This window comes from Homo sapiens, chromosome 18 (genome assembly GCF_000001405.40).
Source record: "Homo sapiens chromosome 18, GRCh38.p14 Primary Assembly".
Lineage (NCBI taxonomy): Eukaryota > Metazoa > Chordata > Mammalia > Primates > Hominidae > Homo > Homo sapiens.
The window spans coordinates 6,839,230-6,855,199 of record NC_000018.10 but is presented as its reverse complement, the minus strand read 5'-3'; the positions used below and the strand labels follow the sequence as shown (position 1 = coordinate 6,855,199).

Sequence of the window (15,970 nt, the reverse complement as noted above, 5' to 3'; positions counted from 1 at the left end):
TCAGGCTGTTCCTGGCTTGAAGGTGAGGTTTCACCAGGTACCTGCCCCTTTCTGCCCAGCAACCTGTCTGCCTCCCACCTTCAACATGCCATCCGCAGTGCCCAGGCTGTTCCTGCTGAGGGGCACCTGCAGGCCTGTGCCGAGCTGCCCTCAGCACCCACCTCGGCCTCCCTCCCATGCTGGTTGGTGCCCAAAGTTCTGAGGGGGGCCAAGGGGGCAGGGGACTGGAATGTAAGCACCACCCTGAGCATGTGCACACCGTGGGGGGTTGCAACAGCGCCCGGGCTGGGCCACAACTTTGCTCCACACTGGAGTGGGAGCCAGGAGCGGGGAGAGGCCAGGGAGCATGAGCAGGCACTTCCAAGCCTATGGGAGGAGGGGTTTCCCAGGCCACCAAGAGTACAGAGATGCCCGGGTCCAGAGCTGCAGGTGGGCAGCTGCAGGTGGGCAGCTGCAGCTGTGCCTGGGAGCACAGGACTCCCACCCTGCCAACTCAGCAGGGGGCAGGGCTCCCACCTGTTCCTGGCTCCTGCTGGCCCCATGGAAGGCACAACCCTGGCTGCACCTCCCTTGCTGTAGCCGGCGTCTTCACAGAGGCAGCTCCAGAGGGGCCTGCCTTCAATAAAATTTAGGAGCTATTCAATTGAAGCAAAGCATCCAATATGTGCTCTTGAAAGGTGGGAATGGGGAGAAAAAGAATTTAAGACATAATAGAAGAAAATATCCAGCAACTGAAGAAAGAAAATTATTCTTAGACAGAAAAGACCCACTACGTGCTGACCAGGATGAAAAAGATAAAAAGAAGATCTTTGTGAAAGTTAAGAATTCCAGCAATAAGTTCAAAATAAATTCAAAACTTATAAAATTTAAAAAGTTGCAGAGAGAACAAACACAAAAACCTAGAGAAGTTTATTTATAAAGGAATGAGGTCCAGGCAACTAAAATAAGAATAGAAAAAACATACGGTCACGCTAAGGGTGTAACAGTTTGTCAAAAAAGAGAGAGAGAGAGAAATTCTACTATATAAGTTTTCCAGGAGATCGAAGGTTTCCTGTTAAAAATGGACAGTCAGTTGTCATATGTTCCTAATATAACCCCCCCGAGACCAATCTGGTTCAACTTTCATGTAACTAAGTGGTGAGCTGTTTTTTAGTTGCCATTGTGAACCCAAAATAACTGAGAAAGGTCTCAGTCAATTTAGAAAGTTTATTTTGCCAAGGTTAGGGATGTGCCCATGACACCGTCTCAGGGTGTCCTGACAACATGTGCCCACGGTGGTCAGAGTACAGCCTACTTTTATACATTTTAGGGAGACATAATACATCAGTCAGTACATGTAAGATTTACATTGGTTCGATCTGGAAAGGTGGAACAACTTGAAGTAGGGCTTCCAGGTCATGGGTAGATTTAAAAATTTTCTGAATGGGCTGGGCACAGTGGCTTATGCCTGTAATCCCAGGACTTTGGGAGGCCGAGGAGGGTGGATCACCTAAGGTCAGGAGTTTGAGCCCAGCCTGACCAACATGGTGAAACCCTGTCTCTACTAAAAATACAAAAAAATTAGCCGGGTATGGTGGTGCATGCCTGTAATCCCAGCTACTTGGGAGGCTGAGGCAGGAGAATCACTTGAACTCAGGAGGCGGAGGTTGCAGTTAGCCGAGATCACGTCATTGCACTCCAGCTTGGACAACAAGAGTGAAACTCTGTCTCCAAAAAAAAAAAAAATTGATTGGCAATTGGTTGAGTTATTATTAGTAGAAAGGAATGTCTGAGTTATGATAGGGGCTGTGGAGACCTAGGTTTTATCATGCAGATGAAGCCTCCAAGTAGCAGGCTTTAGAGAGAATAGACCATAAATGTTTATCAGACTTAAGGTCTGTGTTGATGTTAATGCTAGAGGGTATAATGAGGCATGTCCAACCCCCTCTTCCATCGTGGCCTGAATGAGATTTTCAGATAGCTCTGGAATACCCTTGGCGAAGAGAAGGGGTCCATTCAGATAGTTGAAGGCCTTAGAATTTTATTTTTGGTTTACACCATGGACCCCCAGGTTGAAGGTCACACAACCTGAGCATGCCAGATGAACCAGGCATGCAACCATGGGTGGAACCTAAGTGCTCAGAATGAGGAACAGGGACTGAAGTAAGAGGCAGACACCATATGGCAGGATCTAGGATCTAATCAGATTGAGCCCTGGCATCACCCCATGGCAGGATCCAGTCAGAGCAGGCCTCCTGGCATCACCTTATTGCAAGATCCAATCAGATCACACCTCATTACCCTCTGACTATAAAACTTGCTCCAAGCCCCAGCTCAGTGAGACAGATTTGAGCATTTCCTCCTGTCTCCTTGCCATTTGAGTTGAAATAAACCTTTCTTGCTGCAAAACTTGGTGCTTCAGTGTTCTTTCCATTTTGCATGGGCAAACCGACCCAGTTTGGTTTAGTGACACTAACGGGTATGAAGAAGGTATCGGAGCCTCCTAGCCATCCTGTAAGAATAAGGATTAGGTCCACGTGCTAAGGCGGCAACACGAAAGGAAAAAGTTGTTAGTCCATGCTAAGGCTATTAGTACATTGTTTTGCAGTTGTACAAGCCTTGGTAAACTCCCCATTAATTTCTTAGTTTTGTGATTTAAAAAAGAAAACACTACTTGCTTAAAATTAAGTTCCTTAGATTTTCTTTTATATGAAGCAAACAGATATAACTGATAATTTTTAACTAATGGTATGATTGTATTTTGCAGTAAATTATGAATCAATAGCAAGCAAGTATAGCTATTTGGTTATCATTTAAGACACTGAAAATAAACTAGAAGGATTATTTTACATTTTCAATAAACCAACACCTTGACAGATTATTTCATTTATGTTGACTGCACATAAGGAAGAAGTCTTCTTTTATCTATATAGGAATTGATTTGTAAGGTAGGTTTCTGATTACTGTAGATTGGACTGTAAACATTTTGTAAGTGCTTGGGTTTAGTGGTGTGTGTGATTAGAGTCAAAGGTCATTCATATGTAACACACAAATAGACTGTTTATTGTAAGTAGCTTAGTGAAAAATAAATATGTTGTCTATTAATGAGATTATAAGACGTTCAATGGACTTTTAAAAACAGGATTATTGAGATATACCATATATGCAATTAACTGTACATAAAGTATAAGTAACATACAATTTGATGAGTTTTAACAACTATATAGACCTATGAAACCATCACCACAGTCAAGATAATGAACAAAACAAGCACCCCCCAAAATGGACTCATGCCTCCTTTGAATCTCTCGTTCTCTCCCCTCCTCACCCTCCCTCCTGTCCCCAGGAGCCAATCAATGATTATCTTTCCCCCACTATAGGTTAGTTTACATTTTCTATCATTTTGTGTGAATCAAATATTTTTGGGTCTGGCTTCTTTCACACAGTATAATTATTTTGAGATCCATCTGTGTTGTGCGTATCAACAGTTTGTTGCTTTTTATTGCTGAGTAATATTCCATTTTGTGGATATACCACAATTTTTTTTATCCATTTACCTGCAAATGGCCATCTGGATATTTTCAGTTTGGGGGCTATTACAAATAAAGCTGCTATAAACATTGTGGATAAGTGTCTGTGTGTATATATATTACTTATGAGTAGAACGGTTGGGTCTTATAGTAGGTATATCCTTAATATTTTAAGATGCTGCCAAGTGGATAAAACATTTTACATTCTTAACAACAATATATGAAAGTTCTAATTGCTCTGAATCTTTGGCACTGCTTGGTATTGTCAGTCTTTTTAAGTTTAGCCATTCTATAGGGTATCTAGAAATATCTTATTGTGGCTTTCTTCGCATTTCCATAATCATTAATAATGCTGAGCACATTTTCACGAGCTTAACTACTCAACTTGAGCTCATTTACTGCTGAATATTTTCCTTAAAAATCACCTAAGGTAGATAAGTGTGTTGAAATCTGTGGTTGTCCAGCCATCTTAATTATGTTGCACTTTTTTCAAGTTTTGCTCAACCATCTTGAAGAAATGGCTTATTTCATGCCTACCACCATCCCCCCACAACTATAACTTACCATGGAACCACTTGTCTTGATAACTCTTGGAAGCTCTCTTTCTTCCTTGGTGCCATCCAGCTGATTAGTGTGGTTGCCACAGGTATCACGAGGCTAACGGAAGAAATGAAAGCCACGTTTATCCAGGCATATCTTTCCAAATATGACTGCGTATTCACACATGCATTACACTAGAGTTTTTATATATATGTACAGCTGCCTGGAGATATATACAATTAATGACTACCTGGGCATTGATAACAGCACTTACCAATTCATTCATAATTACATTGATCCTCATAAATGCCATGTACTGTAACAGAATTCGTCTCAGAAGCAAACTCTGCTAGCTTCCTGCCAAAACCCACTTTCTTTTCTTTCCTAACTTATGAATATCATGATTTTGCTCCAAGATGGTATGTTCTAACTAAAAAGACTGAGTGTGATCATGTGATGGTTCCATCCAGTAAGATATGAATGTAATTCTACTTGGTGGAGTGTCTGGGAAAGCTAATGTTTTCTTGTGAAAGTGGATGAAGTCAGCGTCTTTCAGAAGCATGGACATGGTGCATGTGATGTCCAGACATCCTGTAGGTATTAACAATTGGCCCATACACTAAGGGTGGCAGAATGGAAAGAAGAAAAAATTGATAGATCACTGCCAGGGCAGCCATACCAGCCTTTGCCTTTCTCCTTAAGCCTCTTGTTTTGTAAGAAAAGTAAACCTCTAATTGTCTAAGTCTGATCTAACTGACAAAACCATGCTATTTTAAAGCCAGACTTTGTGATTGTATTTTGCAATGGTTTGTAAACCAGTATCAAGAGAAAACCAACATCATGAAAAAGAAGTACAGTGATAAACATTCTACAAAAAGCAGATAATTGAGGAAAGAGAAGAACATTTATAATTATTTAATAATTTTAGAGAGATCTGAGAGGCGGTTGTAACAAGAAGTCAGGAACTAAGTATAACAATAAAGGGGAAATCAGTGAAAAAAGAGGCATTCTTGTGAATTAACAGTATGATTGTTGAATTATAAATGCAACAGGGGCCAAGTTATAATTACGCATGATAAACATTAAAATTAAGTCTCTACAAGAATAATGCAGGCAAAATCTACTAGCATACAAATAGAAAAAATATACGGAAAATAAGTGACAATTTAAGATATGTGAGTTTAATCCAAGCAGTGAAAGGAAGAATAGAAAAAGTGGAGAGAAAGAAATAATTACAGAAATACTTGGAAGAGACTGTTCAGAATTCAAAGGAAAGCAAGAGTTATCAGAAACAAAAAGCTGAGTGCTGATGATGATGGAAAAAAAAAGATTTCATATCCTAATGATATTCAGTTCTCCAACAATAAAAATACACCTACAAGGTTTCCAGAAATATAAAAATGAAAGCAGGATATAAATAAAGGAATAAGTTTTAGGGAGGCATCAGACTTCTCAACAATAACACAGTATGAAAAAGCAGATGGGCCAATAGCTATACATTACTGTAGGAAACCGATTTAGGGCCTAGCATCTTGATACTCACCAATTTAGGATTTAAGTTTTTTGGATTATAAAAATTTAGTATCCAGAGACATTTCTTGCCAGATTTGCTCAAAGAGTAAAAGGCACAATCTGCTAAGAAGATGTAACATTCTGTAATATATGTGATTATGTAAGTTGGTATTTTTACTGTTCTACGTAGTCATTTCATTATACTCTCCTTCATCATCCTTCTGCAGGACAGGACAGTGCCTGCCACCTCATTCCATAAACTGCCCAGCAGCTCACAGGTATGGCTAGAATAACTTCAGTGTTCTCTTCTATCTCAGTGAGAAGTTTCTTCATGTGTTTGGCACCACGCTTACCCCGGTTAACTTTTTTTTTTTTTTTTTTTTTTTGAGACAAGGTCTTGTCACCCAGTCTGGAGTTTAACAGTGAGATCACAGCTCACTGCAACCTTGAACACCTGGGCTCAAGGGATCCTCCCGTGTCAGCCTCCCAAATAGCTGGGACTACAGGAACATGCCATTGCATCTGGCTAATTTTTTTAATTTTTTTTTTTTTCTAGAGACAGGTTCTCGCTTTTTCACCCAGGCTGGTTTCAAACTCCTGGGCTCAAGAGATCCTCCTGCCTTGGCCTCCAAAAGTGCTAGAATTACAGGTGTAAGCTGCCACACCTGGCCCTGATCAGCCTTTAAAAGGTGGTATGACCTTCAATGATTTGAAATGAAAGGCATAGTGAAAGCCAAGTGAGAGAATATTTTGCCCATGGGGAGACTGGGAAACAGAAGGGACAGAGGAGACTTGCTGTGATTATGCTTCTGTTTGCATGTCCTGAGGATGCCTGAGATCCTTCTGGTACTTTGATTATTCACTCTTTCACATGGAGCTCAAGACAGAACTGCTTTACTTACCCCAAAGTGACAGCCAATGGGTTGGCATAGCTTAGCTGGTTTGGGGTGGGTGGCAGCCAAGGGGAGACAAACGCAAGATGAGTTAATGTTCCCCTTTGGCCGATGTAAAATCATTTCATAAACATTCCACTCAAAGGCCAACTGTTACCTTACCTGATAACTGTGAATTACCATGTTTCACCTTCTAACCATCACCATTGCTTTTGTTTGCATTTTAAATTCACTTTTAAGCTAATATATAAAAATCCTGTATGCAGGGGCCATGTCTCCTTACTTTACTGCTGTTGTCCAGAGTGCTAGGCACTTAGTGAGTGTTCACTAAATACCTACAATTGTTTCATGGTGATTACCCTATAAACCTGACCCTGATCATCACTTTTTAAGGGAAGAAGAGAAGATAAAGGCAAAATGAGGGAAGTTTTACTCCCCATACACCTAGAAATATATTATATTGAGAGCTCTGCAGAAAAGAGTACCATAGCAGGGCTGACATACTCTCCCCAGGAAGGCCTGTTTTGCAAGGCAGGCCCCTGGGCTGGCAACTGAGAATCTGAGTTTCAGGAGGTTCCCACTATTTCCTCAATGTTATGACTGGCTCATGGATCCTAAACTCTTTGTGCAAACAATATGACTTATACTGAACACCTGCGTTCCTTCTGGGAGTCTGGAATTTTGTGGCATACTAGGTAGAGGGTGCCTACATGATCAACCCCCAATAAAAACCTGGGGCTCCTTGGCTTAAATGAACTTTCCTGGTAGAAACAGTTTGTTGCTGGAGGAATTAATCTTGTCCTACATTACCTCCCAGAGAGAGGACTCTCGGAAGCTTGCGTAGATTCCCTGGACTTCGCTCCATGCACCTTTCCCTTTGCAGATTTTGCTCTGTATCCCTTTGCAGTAACAATTCCAGCCATGGGTAGGACTATTTGCTGCATCCTGTGAGTCCTTCTAAACCACTGAACCTGGGCATGGTCTCGGGAATCCCTCACCCATGGGCAAACCAGATTATGTATTTTTGATATTTAAGCTAATATATTTTACAATACCATATATAAGTGTTTGAAGATTACCACTTGTCTAACCTACACACACACACACACACACACCCCCACTCTCTCTCTCTCTCATCCTTTCGTGATTATCTACATTGTTATCTTCTGCTTCGTATGGTTAGATTCGAAAAAGGTAAGAAACATATTTTTCAGACCTTATTGGCCTCTGCTTGCCTGATGCAACATCTGCAGTCCAATTTAAAAATCTACTCACAGAGGATGCAACATACCAGTCTAAAATAGAAGTCCCTCTCTAATATACTGAGAGAGAAGAAGTTCTGTGAAAACTCACCATATATTTTTCCTCTAGTTTGGAAGAAGGCAAAATATGGAACGTAAGGATAAAAAGGTACAAGAGAAAATAAATAAAATAAGCCCAGAATAATGAGAGTCCCTTGTTAGGGGTGGGGGTGTGCGTATGGTGTGAGATTGAAATTAGGGCTCCATAAGATAAGCTGCCTGGAAATCTGGTGAAATCAGGTGGCCTAATAGCAGGTTCTCCCTGCCGTACTCCTGCAGAGAAGGTCCCCCAGCCAAACAACCCTCCTTATCCAGAGGACAGTTCTTGTGTATCTCTGAGTAGTATTTCAGTTCCCTGCCAGCCTATGGAATCACTCAAAAGCCAATCACCTCCTCCTGTGGGAGCCAGGGAACAGCCTTCCCTCTTGATGCTACAAAGCCTGCAGACCCCACTTGCTCACCCTGTTCCCAAGAGCAGCCTACATGTGGCCCTGTGTGGCATGCGGTGTCCTCCTCTCCCAAGCTGTGAGGAAACGTGACTAATAAACTGCTGTCGATTTCATGTGACCAGTGTTGGGTGCTGTGTGTTCAGCCACTCTCATAATCCAAGGGTGGAGAGCTTTCCCTCACCAACGGGGTAAAGAGAAGACAACCAAAATAGAAGGCAGAGCCAGGTGGGACATAAGGCTCACAGAAACCCATTTTTTGGAAAGGCTTCAGTGTCTGCTCTGACTTGCCCTCTTCTGGCTGAGGGGTGAGACGCTGGCTGCAGTAAGGGGAATGGGGACAGCAGAGAGGGGCAAACACCTCGGGCCAAGTGTCCTGGTGGGAAGGAAGGTATGACTGGAAGGTGTTAGCACACTTCGGAAAAATATAATAAAATTAGAAAAAGGATTGAATTAGAAAAAAAAATAGAGACAAAATCTGCAAAACAGGATTGCTCACAGCACCCACTGACTACACTCCACGTCCAGACCTCGGTCTACCTTCAGGCAACAGAAGAGCGGCCAGAACACAAACTGGCCACATCCAAACCACTCAGCAGACTCTTAGGAGAGACCAAGAACCTGCTTCCAGATAGAGTGCCCCACATGAAATCTATGTAACATAAAAAGAAACTGTACAGAAACAAAACACCATCATCATCATCATCGCCATCTTCATCACATCAAGGGTGGGAAAAGGAATTATTCTTGGAACAGCAAAGAATCCTTCTTCCCTTAACAGGAAGGAAAAAAACTAAAGTTAAAGAGAAGGAAACATACTGAAGTATAACAGAGGAAAGTTTCTCACTGTAAATGGTCTGCCACCATGAATCCAGGTGGAGGCAGGTGTCAGCAAACCCCCGTCCTTCTATCGCTCCTATTCACGATGCACCATTTCAAAAGGTGGACCCAAGCTTCATGACACATGGTATAGATCATGCATGGGATTCATCTCATAGAAATAAAGCCTTCTACTGAGACAGATTCATTGGCAGTCATGAACTCAGATTAGCATTCTTTGAAACTCTGTACTAAAATGGACAAGATGGGCTCTGATGTAATGTGTTCACTTCCTGTGCTAGATAGTGTACTTTTTCCCACTTATCACTACACATTTAAGATGACATAGTGCTGCTTCCCATGATATTTACATTTAGAGTGGTACATATATACCATGGAATACTATGCAGCCATAAAAAGGAATGAGGTCATGTCCTTTGCAGGGACATGGATGGAGCTGGAAGCCATCATCCTCAGCAAACTAACACAGGAACAGAAAACCAAACACTGCATGTTCTCACTTATAAGTGGGAGCTGAATGATGAGAACACATTATGGACATATGGTGGGAAACAGCACACAGTGGGGCCTGTCCAGGATCGGGGGAGGGAGAGCATCAGTAAGAACAGCTAATGGATGCAGAGCTTAATACCAATGTGATGGGTTGATCTGTGCAGCAAAACACCATGGCACATGTTTACCTAGGTAACAAACCTGCACATCCTGCACATGTACCCCAGAACTTAAAATAAAAGCTGAAGAAAAAAATGCAATTCTAATTCCAACAAAGAAAGATATTTACCTTTATAAAATAACTGATCTGGGCATGGTGGCTCATGTCTGTAATCCCAGCACTTTAGGAAGGAAGAGGCTAGGAGTCTGAGACCAGCCTGGGCAACATAATGAGACCTCATCTCTATAAAAAATTTAAAAATTAGCTGGGCATGGCAATGTGCAGTTGTAGTCCCAGCTACCAGGGTGGCTGAGGTGGGAGGACTGATTGAGCCCAGGAGTTCCAGGTTACAGCGAGCTACGACTGTGCAACTGCACTGCAGCCTGGGTGACAGCAAGACCCAGTCTCAAAATGAAAAGAAAATAACTGAAATGTCAAAATATTTCTTATGGTGGGAATTAAATTAATACTAAAGGATACATGGAGGGTAGCTCAAGATTTTCCATTATAAGCTCATCCAAGAGAACAAAATTGATCTGACATCTTCCCCCACACTTTGACTTCTGGCTGCAGCTATTGCCGTGGGTGTTGTTATTTTTGTTATTAAAGGTAGGGCATATAATTATTTGTGAATTTAACTATTTATTTATTCCTGAGTTTAAGAGTCTCCTTTTTTCTTCACTGTTTCCATATAAGTGGGCATTTTTTCATTAGTTTTTCTAACTGTCTTGAAATAATTTTTTTTTCTAACCTCCTTACACTCAGTTTCCCTTGCCTTAACTTACCAGTTGACCGTTTCTACAGGGAATTGATAATACCTCCTCTTTATCCAGAGTCACATCCAAAAGAGGAGTTGGGATACAAAAAATCATCTGGCTATTGAAAAAAATGAAAGTGCATTTTATTTATGTTTCCGAAATTTAATTGTGCAATAAATCACTTGTTATGTATAATATGTGTACATTCATACAGATTTGTGGAGATAACCATAGCTATGATTACCTATGCACTCGTCATTGCATTTAGCAATTTATCAACCCATACTGAGCACCTACTAAATGCCAGGCACATTAATAGACACTATTCTCTGTGGAAGACACTATCAACTGTGCACCCCAAATCCAGTCTGTTGTCTTCCTTAAGTGTCCTGATTGTTTTTATGAAAGCCAAAAAGAAAGACAAAAAGAAACTGGATTCATGGTAGGGAATAACACCACCTACATCGTCTTCTTCAGAGAGAAAAACAAACTCATATTTGTATAACACATTATTTCTTGTGTTTTCTGTTATGTGCAGCCAAATGTATATATATGTTATATAATCATTTTTACAGCATACTATATATTTATATAGTCAGTTGTACATCAATTCCACTTTTAGCTAGTTGCTTATCAATTATGAAGCTGGAGATAAATTAAATCGACTATTTTGCCCAGTTAAATGTGTCACTGAAAGGAACATTTAATTCAGATCTTATGAATGTTGGAAAATGTATTTGGGTACTGGAATTCTGCTCACGCTGAACAGGACTGTAAACCATGCGTGATGTATCCGGAGACTGATTTAACATTTTTGATTTAATATACAACTAAAACAAAGGTTAAATGTCTATTCCTTTATTATAAAAACTCCATTGAAAAACTAAATGTATTAGATATTTAGTGAAATCATAACATTTCTTTGAACCCATAGAAATTGTCATTCTTCACCTTGCCTGTCCATATTTTCTAAGTTTCCAATAACAATTATGTATTACTTTCATTGTAAGAAAAAACACATTTATTTTCTGAAAGGAATAAGTACTACTGAAAAATCAGCACAAGAAAATTCAATCAAGATAGCAAAATGCACAGGCTACCTTCTCCTGTCCCTGCAAATTACTCCAAGTGTCAAAAGAGATGTCTTTTTAAACGTGCAGTTCTAAAGACCACTGAACATTTCCATTAACAGAACAGAAATTGTTGGAAGTTCCTGGCAGATAAAAATCAGGCAGGAATGGTTTGATAGGGGTAGAGGAAAACCTCAGCCTGTAAAAAGGCACAAGAGAAAAATGCGTAGAAAGTAAAGGCTGATCCAGAAAAAGCCCATTTCCAGAACCAAAATAAAAGGATCAGGGAGGCACCCCACTCAGAAGAACCAAAGTAACTGGAAAATATTTTTCAGAACAAAGAGGCCAGGCAGACCCTTCCCTTCCAGACACTGAAGAGCGGCAGTAGTTAACTCTCGGTGATGAGTGACACCTGCCTCGGTGGCAGTGGCGGCTGTCCCAGTGAGGGTGTTGTAGGCAGAAGGCTGAATTGCATTTCACTTGGAGCCTTCTAAAAGGAAATATAGCAATTTATCAACCCATGCTGAGCGCCTACTAAATGCCAGGCACATTAATAGACACTATTCTTTGTGGAATAGTGTATAAAAAGAGAAGTTCAGTTTGCTTGAAAAGGAAATAAATTACAGTTCTTCAGGACTCCCATGACTTTGGCATTGATACCATATGTACATGTCTTTTAAAAAATATTTTACATTTTTTTAATTTTTATATTATCAACATGGAATTTTTAAACTTAAAAATATGACTCATACAAACATAAAATGGGCACATGTCAAATGTTATTTTTTAATTTCTAATTTTTGTGGGTACATGGTAGGTATATATATTTATGGGGTATATGGGATATTTTGATTCAGAGGTGTCATAATCCCGTATGTATGTGTCTTAAGTGGAGGATGACAGTAAACACACTTCACCATTCAAAAAGGCCCAGACTCCTATTCACAGGAGAGTTCTGGGAGAAAAGAGGACCATACAACTCCCATTACCATACTAATCAATCTGTCAATCTAGTCATTTCTTAATTAACATAAATCAACACCCAAGGATCAAAGTCAACAGAGCAACGACAATGGAAGAGAAAAACAACGATGCTAAAATAAACACATGACTCTGAAGGGAGCAGAAAATTCAAGGAAAAGAAGAGAACTTGAAATTTAAGGTTTAATTTAGTTATTACCTTCAGAGTGCTGAGAGGCTACTGCAGTCAAGAAACAACAACAGATGCTAGCTATAATGACAGGGAAGTCAGGGCAAGGGGAGGGACTTCAGTAAATTAGCAATATGACCATTAAATTTTTTTTCTTTTTGAGACAGGATCTATCATTCTGTCTTCCAGGCTGGAGTTAAGTGGCCCAGTCATGGCTCACTGCAGCCTTGACCTGCCAGGCTCAAGTGACTCTTCCACCTCAGCCTCCTGAGTAGCTGAAACAACAGGCATGGGACAGCAGGTACGTGCCACCGCAACTGGCTAATTTAAAAAAATTTTTTTTGTAGAGACATGGTCTCGCTATGCTGCCCAGGCTGGTCTCAAACTCCTGAGTTCAAGCCATCCTCTTGCCTTGACCTCCCAAAGTGCTGGGATTACAGGTGTCAGCCATCATGCCTGGCCAAATTTTTAAAGAATGAAGGCATAAATGTTAAAACAGCCATGGCCAAAATAAGCTTGGAAAATATAAGAACATTTAAGAGACACAGAGGTTCAATCCAAACAGTGCAACAATCATCTAACAGGAGTTTCAGAAGGAGATAATTGAGAAAATAAAGTGAACAAACAAATACTTGTTTTAAATGCTACAAGAAAATATGTAGAACCTGAAAAATGAACTAGTTCTCAGATTGCAAGGGCTCGCTTAGTACTGACCAGGATGAATTTTTTAAAAAGATAAAGTTGGTGAAATTTCAAGTTTCCAGCAATAAAAATAAAATTCAAAAGCTTCCCCATCTGTTATGTAAAGGAACAGGATTGATGCAGACATTGTACTTCCCCACAGCAATGGTACATAAGAAAAGATAATGGACCCATATCTTACAAACTCTGAAGTCAAGTGATTTTGAGCATGGGATTCTATGTGCAAAAAAAAATTAAGAGAAGAACCAGCATAATCTACATATCTATTTTCTAAATTACTGAATTTATAGATAAATATAAGATAAATACTTATATCTTTATAAGTATTTTATACAATATAAAGATATAAGTATCTTATACTTATCTATCTTACTTATATCCTTACTAGATAAGTATATTGGGTCAAATTTATACATCTAAGATTAATGCAAAATCTCCTTATGAAACTGATTATAAGACTTCACTAAGAAAGTGAAATGGAAAATCTTAGGTAATTATTCAATTAATGTAGGTAAATGATGCCAAAGAAAGAATAAGAAGGAATAGGGAGGGAGACCAAGGGATAGGGAGGGAGACACACAATTGGTGGGGGCGGGTTGGGGGGAGAGAGAGAGAGAGGAGAGGAGAGAGAGAGAGAGAGAGAGAGGAGAGAGAGAGAGGAGAGAGAGAAAGAGGAGAGAGACAGTGAGAGAGGAGAGAGAGAGAGAAGAGAAGGACCCCAGAGACACAGGACAGGAGGAGGAACAGAGGAATTGGTGTTTATGTTGTCAAATTCAAATAGAAAACTGAAAAAGTTCAGGTACATTCTCTAGAAGCTTCCAAATTTCTTGCAAAAACAGATGCCGAATTTTTTAGGAAACAACATCTGTGAAGATGTTTCTTAGGCCTTATATATTGTAAATATTTTTTCAAAAGTGAGGTTTATATAGCTTTTTACATCTCTGACAAGGAACAATCTGAATTTTCTAAGCAGCTTATACAATGCCAAACTTACACTGATTTCATTTCACTGACTGCGCTATTTTCCAAGACAGCACAAGCCCTTTTAACTCCCTAGAATACATGGTCTTTCTTTCTCCTGTGCCCACCCACTTCCTTAGTCCCCATTCTCAATTCTCTCTAGAACTGAGACTTCAGCAGCAGGACTGGGAGGAAAGAGAGGAAGGCAGACGGAAGGAAGAACCCTGGGCCATTCCTCACTCCTCACCACAAATGCACCCTGTTAGGCCCTCTTTTGGTCTTTCCAGGAGTTAGACACCAGTTTATTCCATTTGCCTGTCTCAGTGAAGCAAAAGAAATTTCATTTTGAGGAACTGAGCACTATATCTTTCCCTTCGTGGTCTAAATGAAAGAAGAAGGTGCACAAAAAATACCCTTTACCTTGCTGTTTTTACATTACTAGAAGTCCAAAGTCTTAGGAAATCTGAAGAGAACAGTTATGCATTCTCTAGTAATGCACTGAGTAAATGGAGGATTTGGGAAAAGCCTAGAAATGCAGTTTCCTAGAGAAAAGCAAAATTCAAAGTCTGAAGCATCTGGAAATAGAAGTGAGAAAGGCAGCATGGATGCAAAGATTTTAGGACCCTCTCAAGATGATCCCGGACACAACTGAAAAATAACCCAGGGAATTTTTGTTTTCAGAAGAATTCCCAGGCTCAGGCCCTCCTTTTATTTACAGTAATAGCAAATCACCCACTTGCAGTTTTTCTAGTCTCCCACCAGCTGGAGTCTACTAGGTACTGTGTATCTTTGGGATCCACTTCGGGGGATACAAGAAAGGAAGAAAGAAGCCACCAGAACAGAAGGGTATCCCAGTGCTCCAGCTAGAACCCAGCAGAACATCTGAGCTTGCCATATCTGAATGCTTAAAAGTGGAAAGAAGGAGAGTTGCTCTTCATTTATTTTGAAAGAAAATCCATTAGAAAGATGAATTTCGAATGAACATGAATGATCATGACAAGTCAAATGCACATCATAAGTCAAATGAACAGGAATGATCATCATAAGTCAAAGGTATTAATCAATTAGACCTTCAGCCTAGGAAACAAAGTTTTCCTTTTTCTAATATACCACCCTGAAACAAATTTGTCAATAAATCTCGAAGATTTAGTACAAATAGTACAATTCATATTTGCTTTCCTCTTTCCTTTCTTCAAACACCAAATAAAATGCAAGTGAAGGGGGAGGCTGACTTAGAAACTTGCACTAACTCTTAATCTAAAAAAATTATGGCCGGGCGCAGTGGCTCACGCCTGTAATCCCAGCACTTTGGGAGGCCGAGGCAGGCGGATCACGAGGTCAGGAAATCGAGACCATCCTGGCTAACAGGGTGAAACCCTGTCTCTACTACAAATAGAAAAACAAAATTAGCCAGGCGTGGTGGCTGGCGCCTATAGTCCCAGTTACTCGGGAGGCTGAGGGGGGAGAATGGCGTGAACCCGGGAGGCGGAGCTTGCAGTGAGCCGAGATTGCGCCACTGCACTCCAGCCTGGGCGACAGAGCGAGACGCTGTCTCAAAAAAAAAAAAAAAAAAATTATGCTGGTTAATGTGAATCTAACTAAAACAAAGCATTTGAGTACTGCTTCTCAAGTAGAAA

At 40.4% G+C, this 15,970-nt stretch overlaps 1 protein-coding gene across 14 annotated transcripts in view; it reads right to left on the bottom strand.

Moving 5' to 3' along the window:
* Window positions 1–15,970, bottom strand: part of ARHGAP28 (Rho GTPase activating protein 28) — a 186,001-nt gene that overhangs the window by 60,517 nt on the left and 109,514 nt on the right. For all 14 annotated transcript variants that reach the window (NM_001366230.1, XM_005258146.3, NM_001410873.1 and 11 more), the window contains one exon: window positions 4,074–4,166. In NM_001366230.1, the coding sequence (NP_001353159.1) occupies window positions 4,074–4,166 (93 nt within the window). The remainder of the gene's footprint in view (window positions 1–4,073; window positions 4,167–15,970) is intronic.